We start from the raw sequence: 24670 nt of genomic DNA on the forward strand, positions 1-24670 counted from the left end.
AAAATGAAAATACCTTCAAGATGTATTGTTAAGTGAATAAGAGATGGGTTAAAAATAAGAGTATGTAAAATTAAGACTATAAATTGCTAAGAAAATTTAAAAAATAAACAAGGCCAGGTGTCATGGCTTACACCTGTAATCCCAGTAATTTGGGAGGCCAAAACAGGGGGATTGCTTGAAGCCAGAAGTTTGAGACCAGTCTGGGCAACAAAGCAAGACCCTGTCTCTACAAAAAAAAAAAAAAAAAAAAATTTAGCCGGCCATGGCAACGTGCACCTGTAATCCCAGCTTCTCAGGAGGTTAAGTCCAGGAGTTTGAGGCTGTAGTGAGCTATGATTGTGCCACTACCCTCTAGCCTGGACAACAGAGTGAGACCGTGTCTCTAAAAAAAACAGAAATAAAAAACCAAAAAGGTTAAGAATATAAAAACTTTCTAAAGACATATAAGAAACTAATAAAATAATTTATCCAGAGTGAGGGTAGAGGAAGGAATGATGCAGACTAGAGCAGAAGTAGGAGAAAGCTTTTATTATGTACCTCTTTATATTATTTTTTGAACCATCTGAATGCATTTTATGCAAAAATTTTAAGGTAAAAGTAAATTATTTTAAAAATGATGGCAGCAAAAAGGTTAATAGAAATAGACATGTTTGAGCAAGACTGGGAAATGGCAGAAAATTCCAAGGGAAAGAGATAGACATAAGGTAACTTCAAGTTTACAAAGGATATAATGCCATAGGCAACAAGCACCAGACAAATTACTCTAGTGCAAAGAAAAGTAATTAAACTGTGCAGCAACATTTAAACAGCTGAAGCATAAGTAAAATATTAGCACAGGAGAAGAGGCAGTAGAAGAATTAGATTTTATGTTTAACACATTAAAATGAAAAGATTTTAATTAAAGCTGTTATTTAAAGCTACAAAAACATTTTAAATGAAGAATATATATTGTAAATCACATCCATTCTTTATATATTCTCGACCTCTACTTCAGTCTTTCTATAAAACCAACACATGTACATTCCATCCATGTCAAGAAAAGTCATTTTTTATCTTAGTGACTTACATGGTGCAACATATGTATGAAAACAACTTTAGATCTGGGATTTGACTGTGTTATGTAAATGAACTAATATTGTTAAAGTGACAGTAGAACTCCCATAATCTTGTCTGAAGGTAACAGACTGCCATGTATCAAATATTGTCATTGTTTTTCTTCAACTCTTTTTGTTATATAGGTAAGACATGTTCACTGTAGCAAAAAAAAAAAAAATGGGTTTTGTGCCATTACTCATACCTTTTGCTTTAGTTAGTTAAACATTTTCAGTGGATACTACTAGGCATCTCTGTGGCTGTATCCACTCATTAGTCCATTTTAAAACAATTTAATAAGTGCCCATTCTACCACAAGCTATGTAGCGAATGGGTATCTGAAGAGTAAGCAAGTAGTGATAGTTTATGAGTTTTTGACTGTTGGTATGCTTCCAAAAGAAGGCACCAAAAGACATTTGTGATGCCCACATTACTTAGAAATGTAGGGAAATCTTAGTATTTGAAACTCTTATGTCCTAGAATCTTAAGAAACCTCTGGATTGAGATGGTGATGTTAGGCAGCTCTTGCAGTTGACTTCAATGCTAGCTAGGCTACTTTCTCCAAGCAGTGAGAAAGTCCTAAAGAGTCTTGCTTCATTTTATTCCAACTTCTGGAGTTTTTAAACCAGCATTGTTTGTGTTCTTCCATATGTAGAAACTATCTCTAAACCTATCCTCTCATTTTCCAGTTTAGAAGGTGCTTTCAGATATTTAGGATCTTATTAGTTACTTTCAAATTAGTATTCCAATCAAAACGAGTTGAAATAAAAACCTGTCTGTCCTTTAACACTTTGATTATAGTTTATGTACTTCTATTTACATGGGTAAAATGTATAGTCACTAGGAATAACATGTCAACACATCTTGATTGAAATCGCCACTTTGAATTTTTCTATCATGTTTCTAGTATGAAAAAAAACTTCATTTAGCTTCATAGTAGCTTCATAGCAGTTGGAATAGTTGTATATTATGTGTTTTCTGTATACATAAACTGAACTATAATTTGAAAAAGTTCTTCAAGGTCACCTTGTCACTTGCAGAGTGACAAATTATCCTGATTTGCTGATTCTCATCTTAGTGTTCCTGATACTGCTGCACTGGGAGAAAATTTACATACTTTCCTAAAGCTTACTTTCTCAGACTTCTTGTTCTTCTGGCCTTGAGTAATTCCCAGATCCAGTTTTCCTGTCAAACCTCCAAAGAAGTACTGAAGGGTTTCTTTCTCATAGGTCAGATTCAGGATTTGAACCCAAAGCTTCTTTCTTTAAATACACTGTTTTTTCTTTATCATACCTCTCAAACATAGTAGAGCAGCCTTGAAGATTTTGTTTTAAAATCTACATGGCTGTGGAATTTTGTTTTAAATATGATTATGTTTCCTACAATCATCTTCATTTTCTAATCATCTTCATCTCTTCTCTGACTCCCATTTTTACCAAGTCATGAAAATACAAGCATCTGCTTTCCATGAATAGATCAGAGATCTCACAAGCCTAGATTCCCATGGAAACCAATCAAAAACTAAAAGGAAAAGAAAGAGTATATATTGAATTTCGATGAAACCTACAGCTTGTTTTTCATTAGACTCATGCTGGTTTCTTTTAAACTCTGGGCACAGGGCCAGCAAATATTTTTATGGCTGGTAAAAAGGGACTTCAAATCCATTTACTTTCATTTAACCGTTTAAAAATTAATTTTGTATATAACATCAATTCTAAAGAAAATTTGAGCATTAATTTTCTAATTACCTTATGTCATAGGGCCATTATTTGTTTATGTAATTTCCTCTTCTTGTTTTTTCTCCTACCCATAGTTTATGACTCATAAAAGGATGAGAGGGAATCAGGATGATTATTATTCCTATAGTGTGAATATTGTCAACACTTGGGCACGACATTTTTCCTATGACCAATCATAGGACCAATAAAGGAGGTCTCTTTGTACCTCCTTTAGCTGTTAAGCTTTCACAAGGTGCAAATGATCATTTACAAATGTGACAACAGATGATAACTAAAATGCCAAAGTGAGGGGGATTAAGAGAACCAGAGAGGGGATGGCTGGGGAGGACAGGTTGTAATTTTAAATTAAGCAATCAAAATAGTATTCAGTGAGACAGGTTGTAATTTTAAATTAAGCAATCAAAATAGTATTCAGTGAGATGGTGACATGTGAAGCAAGACTTAAAGGAGGTGAGAACTTTAGCCATGTGAACACCTGAGGGAAGAGCATTCATTCCAGGCAGAAGAAACAGTCAGAACAAAGGCCTTCAGATGGGAGCATGCCTAGAATTTTTGCAAAATAACAAGAAAATTAGTATAAATTAGTCTTCATGCCTTTAATCCCAGCACTTTGGGAGACCAAGGCGGGAGGGTCACTTGAGCCCAAGAGTTTGAGACCAGCCTGGTCAACATAGGGAGACTCCATCTCTACAAAAAAATTTTTAAAAATTCGCCAGGCATGGTGGTGCATGCCTGTGGTCCTAGCCACTCAGGAGGCTGAGATGGGAGTATCACTTGAGTCCAGGAGGTTGAGGCTGCAGTAAGCCATAATCACACCACTGCATTCCAGCCTGGACAACAGAGTGAGACCCTGTCTAAAAAAATAATAATAAATATATATATACCTTATAATGAATGAGCAAAAGGAAAGCGCTAAGAGATGAAGAAAGAGAAAGAATGGTGGCCTGATCCTGTAGGGCCTTATAGGCCATTGTCAAGAATATGTTTTCACTCTGAATGAGATGAGGAGGGTTTGAGGAAAGACGTGACATGGTCTGACTTATGTATTTATAAAAGAATCATTCTGGCCAAGTGAAGACATTTTCCTCCAGTTTTAGTACTATCTATTCCTTCACCCATTCCTCATATAATATGCTTTCAAGTTTCCTTCTCATCCTGATCATTTTCACCAGATATGCACATATTTGTCTAAATTCCCTTGAAAATGTGATACCTACAACAGAATACAATGCCAGTCTGATGAGCTCAGAGTGTTACATGACTATAACTGTTGACATTTTAGCAACAAAATACAGCTGATTCATATTTAAGATTTTTCAAATAAAAACTCTAAATCTGCTTTATACTTACAACTGCCTAAACTACGTCCTATATTAATATGGCCGTGGTTGTTGGACCCAAAGGCAGCATCTTATTGTATCCATATTTTGAACTTTCCCAGACATACTTAGGTAAAATTGACCATTGTATCCTTTGTTCCTCCAGTACCTTGTGTACTCAACCACTGTTATACCACCTTTTACACTGAAATATATTTATTTGTTTACATGTTTTATTTCTCCACAGATGATGAACATCTTAATATGTAAGAGTGTCTTAGTCATCTTATTTCCAATATCTAGTAGTACTTAACGACACTCAATCAATGCTTGCTGAATTGAATTGGGTTCATCATGTAACCTACCCAGGTCCTCTTGATTCTTGAGTCGGCCATTCAGTATAGTTGTCATCTCTCCCACTTATGAGTCACCAAGATTCTCATCCTAATCTTTGATATTAAAATAGATACTGCTTATAGAAAACCTTAATCATTGAAACACTAGTACTAAAATAAACTTCACTAATTTAAAAAGTTGTTTTATTCATTTATTATACTTGTCTAAATTATGTCGTCAGTATTAACTCAGCCTCTTGAAAAATTTTGTATAATCTATCAGAATCCACTTGCTCACCATTCCAATTCTGATGGGTATGTCATTCATTTATTCATTCATTCATTTGTTCAACAGATAAATTTTTAGTATTTAATATGTATCAGGCATTACACTATATCTCAAAGTATTTTAAATTCAACCTTTGTCTAAATATGTGGTCTTTCAGATTTTATAATAGTAAAATTAACATTTCACCAATATAACTACTCATTTTCAGGCAATTTATTAGACATATACTCATAGTTTATCTTAAACAATTACAGATTTCAGAAGATATGGTTTGGGTCCTTTTATTCAAGTCTTTCCTGTCACTTTGTCAGTCATCTCTTTTCAAGCCATTTTCTTTTAAGGAATTTGGGCTGAAATATTAGACTGTACTTTGAAGTAATGACTGTAAACTTCATGTATGTAACTTTGGTTATTTCAGTGTTGTACAGATTGTTAACTAATTGTGTGTGTGTGTGTGTGTGTGTGTGTACAGGTGCACACAGGTGCATGCTTTAAATTGTTATTTAATTGGATTATAATGCTTACACATATTGTAAAATGTTAAACATACCAAGAAGGTTTGCAGTGAAGAATCTCGGTGTAAGGAAAACTTTCTATCTGCAAGTCAAAATATAGAAGTGATAGGAAAAAGACTAATAAATATGGCTACATAGTGATAAGAAAGACTTTTTCCTTCCAGAAAATGTGGCAAGCAAAGTTAAAAAAAAAAAAAGACAAATTGGAAACAATATTTGCAAATTATATCATTATCAAAGGTTTAATACTCCTCATATATAAGGTGGAGAAGAAAAAGACCAATGATCCTATAAAAATGAGTAAGAGTATATCTAGATAGTTCACAGAAAAGGAAATGGCCCTTCAATATATGAAAATATGCTCAATATTGTTCGTCATAAAAGAAATACAAATTAAAATCACAAAGAGATAACATGCTTCATGTCTCAGATTGGCAAAACTCCAAAAGTTTGACAACATGTTCTGATGGCAAAACTGTAGGGAAATGAGCATTCACATATCCCTGAAGGAAATGGAAATGGTTTCCTTAGCCTGTTTTGTGTTGCAATAACAGAATACCACAGACTGGGTAATTTATAAGGAAGGAAATTTATTTCTCCCAATTCTGGAGACTGGGAAGTCCAATATCAAGTTATCAGCATCTGCTGAGGGACTTCAAGCTGTGTCATTCCACAGTGGAAAGCAGAAGGACAAAAGAGGGCAAGAACAAGTGAGGGAAAAGGGGGACCAAACTCACTTATATCAGGAACCTACTCCCATGAAAACAGCAGTAATCCATTCATAAGGGCAGAGCCCCAATGGCCTAATCACCTGTTAGGGATCCCACCTCGATACTGTCATAACGATGATTAAATTTCAACATGAATTTTGGAGGGACATTCAAACCATAGCATTGGTATAACGCTTATGGAGGGAAACATAACAATATCCAGCAAAATTAACCAGAATATGCATTTACCTTTGATCTGTCACTTCTGGGAATCTATTCTATACATATGTGGTAAAAACAAGAAATGTATACACAGGGTTATTTAATTGCAGCATTATTTGTAGTAGAGAAAGCTTGAAAGCAAATGCACTTTTTTTGTTGTTTTTGTTTTTGAGACAGGATCTCACTCTGTTACCCAGACTGGAGTGCAGTGGCACAATCATGGCTCACTGCAATCTCGACATTTTTGGGCTTAGTGAATCATCCCACCTTAGGCTCCTGAGTAGCTGGGATTATAGGTGTGTGCCACCACAACCGACTAATTTTTTTTTTTTTTTTTTTTTTTTTTTTGTAGAGATGGGTTTTCACCAAGTTGCCCACACTAGTCTCAAACTTGGGCTCAAGCCATCTGCCCTCTTCAGCCTCCCAAAGTGCTGGGATTACAGGTGTGTCCACCGTGCCCTGCCTGCAAATGTACTTTTAGAGAGCTGGCTACATAAAAAGAGTATATTCACACAATGGAATGCTATGCATCTGTAAGAAGTAATGAGAAATGTTTTTATATAACATTATAAAATGATCTGGAATGAAAAAAGCAAGCGCAGAATATTGTGTATGATATTCTCTATTTTATATATAACTATGAAGTGACCTCCAGGTTTATTGTTAAGAGAAAAAAGTAAGGTGCTAAAGAGCATGTGTAACCTTTTTTCCAGGAAAGAGGAGAAAAATATTTTCTTATATTTTTAAAAGATAGAAGAGTAAATGAAAAATGAATGAAGACTCTTACCTAAAGGGAGAAGGAGATAATGTAGAGGACACAGGGATCGAAGCTAGTCTTATCTGAGTATATCTTGTTCTATAGTTTTGATTTTGGAACTTCGTAAATTATTTCCATAATTATAAAGTTTAAGTGTCTACAGCCTGGATGCAGTGGCTCACGCCTGTAATCCCAGCACTTTGGGAGGTCAAGGTGGGCGGATCACTTGAGGTCAGGAGTTCAAGACCAGCCTGGCCAACATGGTGAAACCCCATCTCTACTAAAAATACAAAAATTAGCAGCCAGGCCTGGTGGCACAGTAATCCTAGCTACTCGGGAGGCTGAGGCACAAGAATTGCTTGAACCCGGGAGGCAGAGGTTGCAGAGAGCCGAGATAGTGCCATTGCACTCCAGCCTGGGCAACAGAGTGAGACTCCATCTCAAAAAAAAAAAAAAGAAAATGAGCAGTCCTTAAAGATTGATAGACAAATAAAACAAAGACACCTGTGTATTAAGTTGGTAGCTTAACTGCAGAGAGAATTATTCAAGTGAATTTATTATTTTTTATTTTTATTTTTTATATTTTGAGATGGAGTCTCGCTCTTTCACCCAGGGTGGAGTGTAGTGGTACAATCTTGGCTCACTGCATCCTCCACCTCCCAGGATCAAGTGATTCTCCTGCCTGCACCTCCCTAGTAGCTGGGATTACAGGCACGCACCACCATGCCCAGCTAATTTTTTGTATTTTTAGTAGAGATGGGGTTTTACCATGTTGGCCAGGCTGGTCTCAAACTCCTGACCTCAAGTGATCCACCCACCTTGGCCTCCCAAAGTGCTGGGATTATAGGCGTCAGCCACTGGGCCCAGCCCAAGTGACTTTAAAACATAGTAAATTTGACTCTGCAGTCCTGGTAGGAAACATCCTAAGGACAAAGACAGCTACAAAGAAATCCTAAAATGTGTTCAGTAAACATACTGTTAGTAATAATACTGTTACTGTTATCTTGACACAACACAAATAAGTGGATCACTATATAAAGGTAAGATGAAGCAAGTGAATATGTCAATTTCATTAGTAACCAAGATTTTCAATAAGAAGTATACAAATATAAACTATTGATATATGTGTCTGCTAAAAATTTATATTTCTGAATTTCATAGCACTAGCTACTGAAAAAGCCTAGAAGTAATGACTAACCCCATGAAGGATCACCTCCATCACCCAGATTGTGTCTCTCAATACCACTAAAAGGAATCAGAACTCCTTAGAGAAGTGGCTGCTTAGAAATTGGGACAAGTAATATATGAAATGAGCCTGGCTCATCTGGTCATGCTGGATGGCAAGATATCTAACAAAGCCTACTGGAGTCATGTCAAAGGGCCACAGAAGCCGTGTTAAAGGAGCTTCCAAAGATGGACAATTTGAGTAGCAAAAATACAGTTGCTTCAATGGAAACAAACATGTTAAAACTCCATGAGTTAGGAATACTTTTTTTTTTTTTTTTTTTTTGAGACAGGGTCTCACTCTGTCTCTCAGTCTGGAGTGCAGTGGTGCGGTCTCGGCTCACTGCTACCTCTGTCTCCTGGGTTCAAGCAATTCTCCAGCCTAAGCCTCCCAAGTAGCTGGGTTTAAAAGCATGAGTCACTGCACCTGGCTATTTTTTTTGTATTTTTGGTAGAGATGGGGTTTTGCCATGTTGCCCAAAGTGGTCTCTAATTCCTGACCTCAAATGATCTGCCTGCCTCAGCCTCCCAAGGTGCTAGTGTATTTAAAATACAGTTGTTTTTATGTGTTTCAGTTTAACTTCCCCTCCTTCCCATCCTTATTGATTTAACTTTTTCAAAAGTTGAAACTACATGAAAAGATAGGTTTACAAGTTTCAGTCACTTCCATGTCCTGTCTGTCTCATTTTCCCTGTCTTTTGAGGACAATCAACTATATTGATTTCTGGTTTACCCTTCATATGTTTCATATATGTATGTTTCCTTGTTGCCTCTTTTTCTTCTAATATATGCTCTTGTGCTTCAGATAGTATTAAGATTTTTAAACCAGATAAAAAAGGAAGAAAAAAGCAGTAAAAGTTTACATGTTCCTTGACTCTAGATTCTGTGACTAGAAATGGACCTTATAAACCACTCAAACTAATATATATGTATATATACATATATATATATACACACACACACATATATATATAGGGATATTCATTCATCATTGTTTATAATGGCAAAATACAGGTAAATTATTCATTGTTAAATATAATCTATTTTTCATACAGTGGAATACTTTTTAGCCACTTTAAAAAATTAATCTATATGTACTATCATGGAAAGATCTCCAGGGTATACTGTTAACTGAAAAAAAAGCTAGCTGCAGAAGAATATGTATAGTAGAAACCTGTTTTTATAAATAAATAATTTTTAAAATAACCACAGTTATACATATGTATCATATAGATTGCAAAAATTTAAAGAAATAGTAAAAATTTCTTTTTTTTCTTTTTTTTTTTTTTTGAGGCAGAGTCTCACACTGTTGCCCAGGCTGGAGTGCAGTGGCACAATCTCGGCTCACTGCAAGCTCCGCCTCCTGGGTTCACGCCATTCTCCTGCCTCAGCCTCCCAAGTAGCTGGGACTACAGGCGCCTGCCACCACGCCTGGCTAATTTTTTTTGTATTTTTAGTAGAGACGGGGTTTCACCGTGTTAGCCAGGATGGTCTCGATCTCCTGGCCTCGTGATCCGCCCGCCTCGGCCTCCCAAAGTGCTGGGATTACAGCGTGAGCCACCGTGCCCGGCCAAGAAATAGCAGAAATGTCTTATAGTGGTATTATGAGAAAACTCATAGTTTAAATTATAGGAAAACATTTTCACAAGAGGCATGCATTATTTTAGTCTGAAAAAAGTTCAAAAACAGACTTTTTAAAAATTCTAAATTTTATTTTGAGCCAGACTTTCCTGCCACCCTTCAATGGTGACAATTCCTTGCAATTCCTGCAGTTCCTTACATGTTTTATTTTCTTTGAAATTTAACTGAGTTTCAGATCTTTGGCTTCAAAGAGGAGACTAAATCCTGTTTTCCTTCATTTCCCAAATCATTTTTCATTATCTCCTACAACAAAATGCTACCTTTTCTGACACTTTTATGGTCTCCTTTTAAATGTTTCTAATGCAGAAGAAGCTTACTTGTTCTCACCACCCATTTGTTAAATTTATTTTCATATCTCTTAGTATTTCTTAATGTGGTGTATATCACAGAACATTTGTCACTCAATAAGGGCATAGCATATCCAATTTTTCATTCCAGTTTTTATTATTCTGCCATCTGTATTGCTTTTATTTGGGAAGTTTCCTATTTGTAAAGAATGATAGTTTTTCTTTCCTCTTAGTAGATCTATCTTGTTTATATTCTCATGTTTAGTGAAGACCTCATAGGATATATTTTAGCTGATCAGGGGAATTCTATTATCTCTTTTCTGTAGCATAAATATTACATTCCATTCTTAAAATATTGATTTGATTGGTAATGCAAAAAGCTTTAGCACTCCAGAAAAAAATATATTTTCATTTATAACTTTCAATGACAGAGTTCTTATTACACTTCAATTCTCTAAGTATATTGAATAAAGAGTAGAGAATTGTTCTTGGAGTTGGACCTATATTGATTCTAGTCCCTGCTCATTTATTTATTAGCTCTGTGACATTTATCTCTTTAATTCTGAGTTTCCTCATCTGAAAATGAGAATAATAATGATACCTATATTACCACATTCCTATGAGAATGAAATGAACTGGTGCCCACAAACTTCTTACTTAGCTCAGTTCCTGGCACCAAAATAGTGCCCAGTGAATATTAACTATTATAATTATCATCTAGTCCATGCTCTGGACTAAATACTTTGGGGAATACAAAGGTGAGCAAAGTTAACTCTGATGGAGTAGATGAGCTGTATTTATGCTATAGTTTGAATATTTGTCCCCTCCAAATCCCGCGTTGAAATTTGATCCCCAGTGGTTGGAAGAGGGGCCTAATGGGAGGTGTTTGGGTCATGGGAGCAGATCTCTCATGAATGGCTTGGTGCCAGAGGTAATGAGTGAATTCTCGCTCTATTAGTTCATGTGATAGCTGGTTGTTTAGAAGAGCCTGGCATCCTTCCCCGTTCTCTCTCTCCCTCTCTCTCTCTTGCCTGCTGTCTACCATGTGACATAGCTGCTGCTCCTTCACCATCCCCCATGATTAGAAGCTTCCTGAGGTCCTTATTAGAAGCAGATACTGGCACCATGCATTTAGTAGAGCCTGCAGAACCATAAGCCAAATAAACCTGTTTTTTAAATAAATTGCCCAGCCTCCGGTATTCCTTTATAAAAATACAAATGGACTAAGACAATCTACAAAGAATTCAAGTATAAGGTAGAATGCATATGTGCTAGAGAAGAATACAAACAAAATGGTATGGAAAGATAGAGGAAGGGAATATTCAATGAGAAGTTTTAGGGAAGGTTTCATGAAGGAGAGAGAATTTGAACTAGATATTGAAAAATCAGAATTAATTTTCAAAGGCTTGGAGATAAATAGTATATTCTGCAGAGATAACCAAGTAAATGACATACAGATAGTCAATGGCTCTGAGTGGCTCTACTAGCTACATCTTTTTATGTTAATAGGTTTTTTACTTTTTTCAGAGAAAATTATATCCAGCATTTTTAATCTTTAGACTAATAACACCAGGTAGACACAAAGCTATTCCTGGAACATTGCTTTATTATAGATAGGAATTCCATAACCAATTACCTCCTATTTGCTAGAACACACTAACACAAATACATAAAAAATACAGACTAAACTATAATAGAAGGCAGTTTTCTCTGGTGTTTGTAGCACCTCTCTTCTACTAATTTAAAATATCTTCATCACTGAGGATGCCTCCTATTAAAATGTTATATCTGAGTTATACTAATAACTATGAAATTACCAGGTGTCTCTGCTTGAGTAGTTGGAATTAATTTTTTTGCCTCATAACTCTGGAGACTTCTCAGAAAGTGTAGCTAAAGGTTTATTCATCAAAATCCCCTTCTAATGAATCGACTCTGATGATTCTGCTGTTGTCAGAATGGATGTTCTAGGAAGTTGTCATCACACTTGACCGTAATGAAAATGCTGCCCTGGACCATCTCCCCAAACTATGTGTCCTCAGTATTGTGGGAAGAACCCACTTCATGATTTCTAACCAGGGTAGCCTCTGGAAGTACAAATGATTGCTGTAAAATTATGAACAGAGCAGCATCAGGCTTTGCTCTGATGTATCTTATGAAGCCTTTCTACTTCCAAATGAAGACTATGAAGAGAACCTTGAAACAATGCCCTTCTGGGAGCTCATTCAGCAAGCATATTCTGAGGGCATATTCTGTTCCACTCTCTACGCATGGAGGATTCTTGTGGTGAGGAAGACATTCTTCATTGGTTTTAAAGAGCTCACCATTTAGCACAGTCAGCCGCTGAGACAGGACTGCTAGATAACTACAGAGGTTATGCATTGCACCATTTGTACACCTCGTACAACCCTATGAGGTAGCCCTCAGGGTTCAAATGGAATGCATCTATATTTTGAATACAGAGTGATATATAATAACAAGAAATCCTGGATGTCTAATTGACTGTCTTCCCAAACAGCATAGCAGATTACCTTTTTAGTCTCATCATTTATGTGCAGATTATGAAACACATTTATTAGTCAATAGAGTCCCTTCCTGCATTTATACATTCTCCTCATAACTCAGTTGTTCTACTTCACTTCCATAAGGCTGACTTGCAAGTCTGAATTTATAGTTGTGTTCTCTTTCCTAAATTTAGTTCAGTTATCTCCCTCCATAATTTACATTTAAATATCCCACTGTAACCTAAAACATAGCTTCCTTTGTTAATTTCCCCGTTGTTACGAAGAAAAGTATTATTCCTCAGTAATTTGGGCTCAAAATATTACCCTAATCTTTGACTCCTTCTGTCTTCCTCAGTCCCAAGACACATCAAAGGCTGATCAAAGTTAGCCGGGCATGGTGGTGGGCACCTGTAACCCCAGCTACTCAGGAGGCTGAGGCAGGAGACTCACTTGAACCCGGGAGGCGGAGGTTGCAGTGAGCTGAGATCACACCACTACACTCCAGCCTGGGTGACAGAGTGAGACTCTGTCTCAAAAAAAAAAAAAAAAAAAAAAGCTCTGTTGATCTTGTTTGTCAATCATCCCACATTTATTGTTTTCTTCCCATTCCCTTTACTACCATTTAGTCTAGGCAGTTGTCTTCTTATGACAAAAATTTCATAAATTGGCTGGGCATGGTGTAATCCCAGCACGCCTGTAATCCCAGCACTTTGGGAGGCCGAGTTGGGGGGATCACCTGCAATAAGGAGTTTCAGACCAGTCTGGCCAACATGGTGAAACTCTATCTGTACCAAAAATACAAAAATTAGCTGGGTGTGGTGGTGGGCACCTGTAATCCCAGCTATTCGGGAGACTGAGGCAAGATAATCGCTTAAACTCAGGAGACGAGATCGCACCACTGCACTCCAGCCCAGCCTGGACGACAGAGCAAGACTTCCATCTCAAAAAAAAAAAAAAAAAAAAAAAAAAAACCTCATAAATTGAGTGTTGTGCTCCAAAAGAATTTGAATATGATCTACTTTAATTTTGTCAGTCTGCCAGAAGTGGGCCTTATAATTCGTTCCTTAGGAGAACTCACGAAAGGTAGGAAATTGAGGAAATTTGGGTGTTAGGAAGGTTTTGAAGTTAGTTTACAAAGAACATAATTGGAGCCCCAGTGACTAAGACCATAATGCTGTTGAGTGGCTGGCCAGATGGATGGATGGATGGATGGATGGATGGATGGGTGGGTGGATGAACATCAATTTTCTAGACCTTGGGGCAGAAGGTTAGGATTGGATTGCAGGAGCAAGACAGAAAACTGAATTACATTATCTGGTCAGGCTTCGCTTAGGTTGATTTAACTCTTGCTAATCTCACTAATGAGTTAGACTTAAATCTTGCCTTGATTAGAGTCAAGGTAAGCCCCAAAACTGAAGGAAGGAGAGCATACCCTACAGATAGAGAACTTCAACTGGGAAAATTGGAAGGTCACAAGGACCCCAGAAGATAATTATCAATCCCATTCATTGTTTGTCAACTAAAAAAACTTCAAACTAAAACCTCCAGAGTAATAAACAGTTAGACTTCCTGCAAGGAGCATCTCACACAGAAGATAGAGCCTGGAAGAAAAGGCTGGGAACTGACATGAAGCACCATGTAGGCCACAAAAAGGAGCCGGAAATAATAGACTAAATGGTATAATAATAAGTAACGGGCTGGTAGCACAATCAACTAGAGTTCAGAAATGCAGTCTATGCTCTAACTGATTTCCTTTCCTGAAATATTTCATATTTGCTTGGGTGGCTCTATAGTCATTTGGGTCCATCATGGAAATTTGTATCATTAATACACATTTTCTGTTAATACGAATAACATAAAAGTGGCTTAGATGACAAGCACATCTATTATTTTACACATCAAGCAGTCTTACATAACAAGAGGTAATATCCAGGGTTGATTAACTCAGTGGCTCAATGATATTAGCAAGGACCTGGGTTTTTAAATCTTTATTCTCCGCTGTAATCAGGATGTTGGCTTATACTCTTAAGCTAGCTTTCCTTGGAGTTAATTTCAAGGTGGCTGCCTAAATTTCAGGCATTGCATATAGACCACAATATCTAGAAGCAGAAAAATCAAATACCCGTATCTTGTTTATCTTTTCAACATGGAAAATCTTCTCAGAAGCCCTGTGGCAGATGCTCTTTCCATTCCTTTGATTCCCAGGCCTAATCCTATCCCTTGGCAAGGAAAATGAAAACTTCCTGATTGCTATGTCATTCAAAGTCACCTTGGCGGGCACCAGTAATCCCAGCTACTCAGGAGGCTGAGGCAGAGAATTGCTTGAACCTGGGAGGCGGAGGTTGCAGTGAGCCGAGATCATGCCACTGCACTCCAGCCTGGGTGACAGAGCAAGACTCCATCTCAAAAAAAAAAAAAGTCACCTTCTGAGTTTGGCAAGGACCCAGCCTTCTCTGAAGGACATATCTACTTAAAAGGAGACCAACCAATATCAGGGTTCTGTTGGCCTAAAAGCCTAGAAGAGGATGGGCATATATATTAGCCAGGCAATCCATGGTGTCAGCCACAATGTCTGTTGGACACTTACAGAGCCTTGTGAACCTAACTACTTTCAAAAGCAATGGCCATAGGCTGTAGGTCACCTTCATGGAATTCCATCTAGTGGCATTGCCCTTTAGCTCTAGGCTACAAGAAAACCAGCTCTACAGACTCTTTCTTGCCACTGGGGTGACCCTAACTTTTACCCTAACTTGATGTTCTTTCTATTTTTTTTTTTTTTTTTTTAGCAAATGTGCATATTTCCTCCCAAATGCTCCCAAATGAGGAAACAGTCAAATCACTTAGCTGTTCCAGTAACAAACGCGGGCACCACCTCACATGTTGTTACCCCACAAACTTAACTGAGAAGTGTAGTGATAAAAAGCAATCATCTAGTCTCTGAATTCAGAATTTAAAAAGCAATGATCTGAAAATTGAAAGAATTCATTTAATAACAAGATATTTATTGAGCACCTACTAATCATAAGGTACTGCTCTATATATGTGGGATATAGCAGTGAACAAAACAAAACAAAAATCCCTGACTTCAAAGATCTTACATTTTGTTGGTGGGAAACAAACCAATAAACAAGCGAATACATTTTTAAAGTATATATTATATCAGATGGGGATACATGCTATGGAAAAAAAATAAGACAGGTGAGGGTGATAGGGAGTGTAGGGATTTGCAAATATAAATAGGGTGATCAGGGTAGACCTCACTTAAGAAAGTAATATTTAAGCAAATACTTAAAGATTATGAAGGAACAAACCTTTCTGGGAGAGAATATGCCAAGTGCAAGGTCCAGAAATGGGCACGTGCTTTGTATTTACAAGAAACAGTTAGCAAGGAGGCCACTGTGGCTCTAGTCAAGTAAGGATGAGTTCAGAGATCACAGAAGGCCTGTATGCTATTTAATGATTCTACTTTTACGCTGCACAAGAGGGTATGGTTATTGAAGTGTTTGAGCACAGAAAATATGATCTAGCTTATATTTTGAAAGGTTCATTCTAACTGCTGTGTTGAGGATGGACTGTCAAAGGATGAAAGCAGAAGAGAGACTAATTAGGAAGCTGAGAGTTGATGTTGGCTTGGACCAGAATGGTAGTGGCAGAGGTGGTTAGAAGTCCAATTTTATTTTTTTCTAATTTGTTTATTTTAATTGACAAAAATTGTATATATTTATGTGTACAACATGATGTTTTGAAATGTGTATACATTCTGGATTGACTAAATTAATTATGAGGTAGTACATATGTTAATTATATATAACTACCTCATATTTATACATGGTGTCAACACTTAAAATCTACTCTCTTAGCAATTTTCAAGCACATAATACATTGTTATTAACTCTAGTCACCGTGTTGTAGCCAATATTAAATATATCTTGAATTTTCTGCAAATTATAGATGTGAAAGGAAGAGTCAATGACTTTGACACTAAGTTTTTTTTTTAAGCCTCATTTTTTAAAATGTTTTCTTAAGGAGAACTTCAAACATATTCAAAAATAGAATAGTAAAATGACCCTCCATGTATCATCACTCAGCTTCAGTAATTACCAGGTCATGCTAATCTTATTTCCTGTATTCCTTCATTAACTTCTCCTCTTCCCATGTTAAAGCAAATCTCAGATATTGCAGGGATATCATTATATCAATATGTATTTCTAAGAGGAAATGACCTTTTAAAATGTAATCATGATAGTACTTTTCAAAAAATGTAACAAGAATCACTTAATATCATAGTATCATAAAATGGCCAATTGATGTTCCAATTACCATTGTCTCATAAATGTCATAAATGTTTTTGTTTATTTACACATGTTTGAATTGGATTCCAAATAAGAGCTATATATTGTGATTGGCTGATATGTCAAGTCTTTTTTAATCTATAGTTTCACCCTCCATCTCTCTTTGTTTCTTTTGGCTTTTTCTTTTTTTTTTTTTTTTTACAACTTTTTGGCTATTGTGGCTTAACCCCTGCCCTAACTTGATGTCTTAGTCTAGACTGATTGCCTCAGTAAGATGATTCTCCCTTCAGGTGTGATAAACCTATTCCTCAGTCCTATGTATTTCCTGTAAATTAGCTGTTGGATCTAAAGACTTGATCTGATTATTGTTCAATTTTTTTTTTCTTTTTTAAATTTCTCATTTTTATGGGTATTTAGTAGGTATATGTATTTATGGGGTACATGTAATGTTTTGATACAGGCATACAATGTGTCATAGTCATATCAGGGTAAGTGGGGTATTTATCACCTCAAGCATTTATCATTTTTTGTTAGAATTACTGTTCAATTTTTGGCAAACTGTTTTATTATTATGGTACATTCATTCTTAGGAGGGACATAATGTTTCACTGTGTCTGTTTTTATGATGTTAACAATTAGTGGTGCTCAGTGCCTAGAGCCCATTGTTCATTAGGAGTTGCAAAATGCTGATACTTTAATTCTACCATCTATCCTACAGTTATTAGCTGGAATAATTCATTAAAGAGAAACTTCCCCATATCTACTATTAGATTACTCAATGGTACAGTTCATATAGGAAAGGAAGGATGAATGCTTGATTCTCCCTCTTTATTTACCAATTTTTAAAATAATGAATTGGTTTCCTGGCATCCTCCTAGGATAATCAATTAATTTTTTTTCATTTTTAATATCATTATGAACAAGGCCTAGAATTTTTTAGTATCATTTTAACATATTTACTATATCAATCCATTGAAGTTATTATCCTTAATTAGTATTCAAATTACTCTGTTTTTGGCCTGTGGGAGGCCTGTCAAGTAGACTTCTTGATCCATTTGACATGAGCCTAGTATTTGATAGCTTACTTGCTATCTGCTATGTCCAAATATTCCAGATTCATTTCTATATTTTTTGTTTTAGACCTGGAATCAGCTATTTCTCCAATAGCTTTACTTTTAGTAGGAAAAAGTATTTGGAGAACACAATCTAGGATCTAGGGTGCTCACTGCTACCAGGTTGGTGATTGTTTCTAGGCTTTTATAGTGGACAGAGCTTGCGGATTTTTTTAAGCAATAAAAATATTTCATCACTTCCTATTCTAATTCTGGGCTAAAAGGTTTTAAACTTAACCTCTTCTTACATCTCTACTCCTTTTGCTCACCCAGTCAAGAATGATAGAATATCACATTGTCTAGATGAAAAACCTGAGATGCAAGAGCTTGAGTAATTTATCATTAAATGGCAGAACCAGGGTTCAAATATGTATCTGTTTGACTCTAAAGTCTGTGCTTAAAGTCATCTTTAGAAAATTTGTGTTTAGCCAGAGCTCCTTTGGGAAGCCTAGGCAGGATGAGGGGTTGAGCCCAGGAGTTCAAGACCAGCCCTGGCAACATAGGAAGACCCCATCTCTACAAACAACAACAACAAAACAAAACAAAAACTAGCCAGGCATGGTGGTACATGCCTGTTGTCCCAGCTACTCAAGAAGCTGAGGTGGAAGGACCACTTGAGCCTGGGAGGTCAGGGCTGCTGGGAGCCGTGCTCCCACCACTGTACTCTAGCCTGGGCAAGAGAATGAGACCTTGTTTAAGAAAAAAAAGAAGCCACAGATCCCTTGCTGCAAGGCGTAGCATTTTTAGCAGAACTGCCAGGTAGAGAATTCAATTCAACTAACACACACTGAGCACCTATTAATATTTTTATACAAAGTCCTGTTCACCTGTATGATACTGGTGTCTATTAACAAATTTGATTTGTTGATTTATCTACAAACCTAGATTTATCCAGAATGCAACCACTTTTCTCAACATTCCCTTTACCACCACTTTGGTCCTAGCCACCATCATGTTGGGTTAGATTATTGTAGTAACCTTGCTTGGATAATTATAATAGTGTCCTAACTGGTCTCCTGGTTTCTGCTCTTGCCCCCTGCAGTCTATGCCCAACATATCAACCAGAATGATCCTTTAAAACTTAAGTCAAAGCATGTCAGTCCTCTGCTCCAGACCCTTTAAAGGATTTTCCAGTTGAGCGCAGTGGCTTACACCAGCACTTTGGGAAACCAAGGCAGGCAGATCACTTGAGGTTAGGAGTTCAAGACCAGCCTGGCCAACATGGCGAAACCCCATCTCTACTAAAAATACAAAATTTACCCAGATACGGTGGTGTGTGCCTGTAGTCCCAGCTACACCAGAGGCTGGGGTACAAGAATCACTTGAACCTGGGAGTTGGAGTTTGCAGTGAGCCAAGATCACTGCACTCCAGCCTGGGTGGCAGAGGGAGACTCTATCTCAAAAAAAAAAAAAGATTTTCCATCTCAGAGTAAAAGACTAAGTATTTCCTGTGATCTATCAAGCCTTTTATTTCATGTTCTGAATTCTGTTGTTTGTATGACCTTATTTCTAATCTTCCACATATTTCCTCCACATACACCACTCTGACCTCAGTGCTGTTCCTCTAGTAGGTGAGTCAAGCTCTCACCACAGGTTTTTGCATTTGTTCTTCCCTCTCCTAGGAATGCTGTTCCAGTAGGAATCTCTGTGTTGAACTCCCTTGCTTTCATTAGTTTCTTATTCAAGTCACTGTCTCAGTGAACCCTTTTCTGGCAATCCTATCTAATACCCACCTCACCTCACACATTGTATTCTCCCTACTCTGCTTTATGTCTTTTCTTAGCACTTAACACTATCTAAAATACTATATATTTTACTTATTTATCTTGCTTATTGTCTTTTGCCCCACTATAATATAAACTCCCTGAAGTTGGGGTTTTATTTTTGGTCTGTTTATTCACTAATTTATCCCCATTGCCTAGAACTAGTAGTTGGTGCTCAAAAAATATTTGTTGAATGAATGAGTGTACTTCTAAAGTTATAGCTTTAATAATTCTCCCAGGTGATCCACGATTTCTTACATGATGCATATATTGTGGGCAAAAAACATACTATGAGATTCCAGTTGTCTAATATTAGAATATTTTTAAAGGAAGAATAATCCTGTTTTGCTATCTTTCTTTTTCTTATACAATCCTTCCTCCCCACCCCAGCGACTCCTGCTTGTACTTCATAGAATATTTCCTCTCTTGGAACTAGATATTTCTTTCTCTTTTCTTTCTTTTTTTTTCTTCTGGTTAAATAGCCACAGACTGTCCATTTGAGCTGACTCTTGCTGGAAAGTGAGTCAGTGCAGCCTAGTGGAGAGCAGAGGCTGGAGCATTTGCATCTCCAGAATGTTTGTATTGACAAATGGCAGTCAGTTATTGACATTTTTATCCCTTGGTGATACTTCAATTGGCTTATCTTTGCTGGTCAAATGCCTTAATTGTTCTGGCCTTTAATTCAGTCAAAGTTGGAGCTAGAGCAGAGGGGAAAGAGAAGGAGCCAGACTAACAGAACATCAAGCTTGAGCTGGGAGGCTGCTGGCAACGATCAGCCTGTCATAATGTTATGATTTGTTCATTTTTATACCATTTATTAGCCTTTACTTGTTGTGCCATTTGGCCTCCAGGGCAGATAAAGTGCTGTCTAATTTGGTAGGTTTGCTTCTGTCAGAGCAGCCTCGACAGGGAAGGTGTTAGCTGCAGTGACAAATAATCAATAGCTGTCGTTGTCATGAGGAACGTGAGCAGTTGGGCCTTTCATCTGGAGGATTAGAGGTCTAATTGGATTGAGAATAGGGAGGGTGGGCTGTTGGGTAACCCTGTCAGCCTTGTGAAGCTGTCAAATATCGGCCTTATTCATGGTGAAGGGAATAAGGAACCTTGTGCTTTCAGAACTGAGGAGAAAGGCATGTGAAAGCCCTTTATACAAAGGAATAGCTCCTGAAGTTGATTCAGCTAACATATGCTTCCTTTTAAACTTAATTAAATATCCCTTTAGATAATAAATCTATGGAACTTTAAATGACATTTTTAAGGTTGGATGTGTAATATACACACACATTCACATATAACGCTATACAAATCCAGGTTGGTTCTTTTGTCTTTGCTGATGCCAGAAGATAAACCACTTGAATGGAGGTGAAAAATGAAACTTTATGAGAGAAATTGCATAAGTTGTCATCTCATTGTCAGAATTAACAAGTGATAAGCATTTTTAATACTATTAATAGAAAAAATAAGTGAGACATTAAACTGATAGATTAGTTAATAATGAAGTATGGATATGTGACAGTTATTTTTCTCCCCTGGTCATTTAGAAATGTGGTTTCCTATAAAACAAATCTTTCATTTATTCCAACCTGAACTAATCCAAAAAATGAAGAATTATGCATTGGCTAAATTACTTCTTCAAAGGAATGCCTAATTTTTTCTTCCTTAGCAAGTGACAGGATTGCATTTAAGTGATATCAATGGTATCATGTCCAACTCAGTCCCAAAATGTTTTTGTATATCCCTACATACTTACGCTGTACTCCTTTACATTTATGGTATAATGCCATCATTTGGAGTATGAATGGAGAAGGTATTTGAGAAAAATGAGTTAGCTCGTTCTCTAATCTATGGAGCTCTTAATACTACCTCTGCAAGGCCAAGTAAATGACTTTAAATTCCACTAAATTTCATAGAAATTGAGCAAATTTAATAATGATAAATGTTAAACACAATTTTATAAAAAAAGTATAAACTTCTTTATGAGTCCATTCTCTATGTACAAATTAAATTCAGTGCATTGCTGTTGTCCAAAAGCAGGTATAATTTTAAAAAATGTTTTTACAATGTGGTAGGTACTAAGAGCATTTGTAAGCATCCTCTATACAGTATATCTTTATGAAAGCCCTGAATAAAGGTGAGTTGACAGTAATGCCAAGAGTATGTGAATAGGCATTTCTAACTTATGGATTATATACTTAGTCCATTTCTATAAACCCATGGTCCCTTTTCTATAGTCATTCAAAGCCCAGCTAACCAATTTGAAATAACTTCAAAAAATACTCCAAAAGAACTAAATGTGTGTACAAAAGACACTAGATGGATGAACCTGGTTATCTCATTGGGCCCTTCAAACCCTGAGGTCCATACTATTTATTACCATTACAAATGTTTCATTAAGTTCTTCCTGATCAGTGCTGGTTTGAAAATTCTATGATTTTACTCACTTGTGTAATCCACAGTGAAGGTCAGCAAAATTCTCAATACTACTGACTAAGAATTTAGAATTATGGTTATCTAAAGAACTTGCTTTGCTTGATCTAAACTAGAAATATTTAAAATTTCAAACAATTATTTGTGATTACAGAAATTTCTCAGATTTCATGCAGTTCTTCTAGAGCTCTATCTGTGGAAGTATAGTTGTGAGTACATTTATACTTAAGCAGAATTACTCATAGGAAATGGTAAGGTCAGCCAAACACAATGGCTCACATCTATAATCCCAGCACTCTGGGAGACCAAGGCCAGAGGATCAGTTGAGCCCAGGAGTTTGAGACCAGCCTCAGCAACATAGTGAGACCCTGTCTGTACAAAAAAAAAAAAAAAAAATTTAAATTAGCAGTCATGTTGGTTCACAGCTGTGGTCCCAGCTACTTGGGAGGCTGAGAGGGAGGATTGCTTGAGCCTAGGAGGTTGAGGCTGCAGCAAGCTGTAATCACACCACTGCCCTCCAGCTTGGGTGACAGAGCAAGATTCTGTCTCAAAAAAAAAATAAAATAAAAAAGGAAATGGTAAGATCAGATTTGATATCCTTGCAAAAGAAGTTCAAAGTTTAAATAGGTTTAAATAGGTTTGTGTTTGGGGTTTTGATCAGAACATACTTTCTATGACCTATAAACAAAATTGTTGCTCTTGAGGTTAGATGAGAATATTTTGTTGCTTTGTAACTCCTTATAATCCTTATTATTCACTCAACAAATATTTGTGCAAAAGCCACTGTGCTAAGTTATGGAAATACAACCATGACAGGGACTATCCTGCCCTCAGAGAAGTTCATAGTTTAATGGGGACAACAGACAAGCTAAATGGGTAATGAAAATGTAGTATTCCTGTGTTAAATGCTAGGAAAGGAGTAAGCCTAGGTATATCATAGGAAAATGTAAGAGAGGCATCTAAGCCATCCTGGGGTGTTGTGGTGAAGAATGGCTTCCTTCAATAGATAGCAACTATGCTAAGTGGAGAGGAGAAAAGAGAGAGGAAGCCCATTCCCAAGGAGTATTCCCTCCATTCCCTTGGAGTATTCTCAAGGAGGGAAAGAATATGTACAGTCACATGCCACATAATGACATTTTGTTTAACTTCAGACCACATATACAATGGTGGTCCCATGAGCCGTCACACCCAGCCTGTTTTTTATCTTTCATAGAATATTTTTACTGTATTTTTTCTATGTTTAGATACGTTTAGACACATGAATACTTACCATTGTGTTATATTTACCTAGAGTATTCAATATAGTAATATACTGTACAGGTTTGTAGTCTAGGAGCATCAGGTTATACCATATAGCCTAGGTGTGTAATAAGTTATAACATCTAGGTTTGTGTATACTATGATGTTCACACTATGACAAAATCACCTAATGATACATTTTGCAGAACATATTCCCATTGTTAAGCAACATATGACTATAGCTCAATATGTATGTATTATTGACTATGAGGTAGAAAACGTGGAGAGATGATATTGGATAAGTAAAGTGGGATCAGACCATGAAGTGTCTGTCCTACATGGAGGACAATAAATAAATTTGAATATTTACTGAAGAGTTAGATTTAAAACTTGAATATTATTTAAATTGGACTAAATGAAAGGGATTTGCAACTAACTCACCACTGCCCTTCTGATCACCAAATTCATATACCTTTCCTACTTCCTCATACCTCTTGACAAAATTGGTACATTTTACCTTCTTTATGATTTTCTCCATGCATCTCTTTCTTTTCTCTGATGTATATCAAGTATATCATTGGCAAAAGCATTGGACTGATATAAATCAGAAGACCTAGATTCATGACTTAGGCTCTGCTTCTTTCTAACGGTGATTTTAGGCAAGTTTTAAGTTTAAATACTCTGGACTTCTGTTTCCTATTTTTTAAATTTGTGGCAATACTTAGGTTCTTACAGGAGTTAAATAAATTAATATATTTGAAAGGACTCTGTAAAACCTTTGATTATGTTAAGGGACACATAGTCTAAAGAGTCCTGACTTAGATCACAAAATGATAAGGCCCTTGAGCATGTAAAAAAAAAAATGTATTCAAGCAGATTGAAGTTAAAATTAAGAAATGTCAACCAAAACACTTAGGTAACAGTTCTAAGAATAACATTGGACCCTTACTTATGAATCTTAGCCCTTATTATCCCATAATTATTCATGAACAAATTTACCCCTGTTATTCTATGAGCTTCTAGAATACAGAATCCTATCAAATTTATCTTTATATCTTCCTACAATGCCTTGCACAAAATAGGTGCTAAATAAATACCTTCAAGGAATGAAACAATGAATTCTTGTAGAGTCAGAATTCGTTCTGGATACAGTTTAATATCTAACATACTTGGATCATTTTGTTTTCTATTTTTCAGTTTTGTGAA

General features: G+C 36.5%; 1 protein-coding gene across 4 annotated transcripts in view; it reads left to right on the forward strand.

The window, feature by feature from the left end:
- The window catches only part of INVS (inversin), a 202933-nt gene that overhangs the window by 48548 nt on the left and 129715 nt on the right, over window positions 1–24670 (forward strand). The window lies entirely within an intron of this gene.

The sequence above is a fragment of the Homo sapiens genome, chromosome 9 (genome assembly GCF_000001405.40).
Source record: "Homo sapiens chromosome 9, GRCh38.p14 Primary Assembly".
Lineage (NCBI taxonomy): Eukaryota > Metazoa > Chordata > Mammalia > Primates > Hominidae > Homo > Homo sapiens.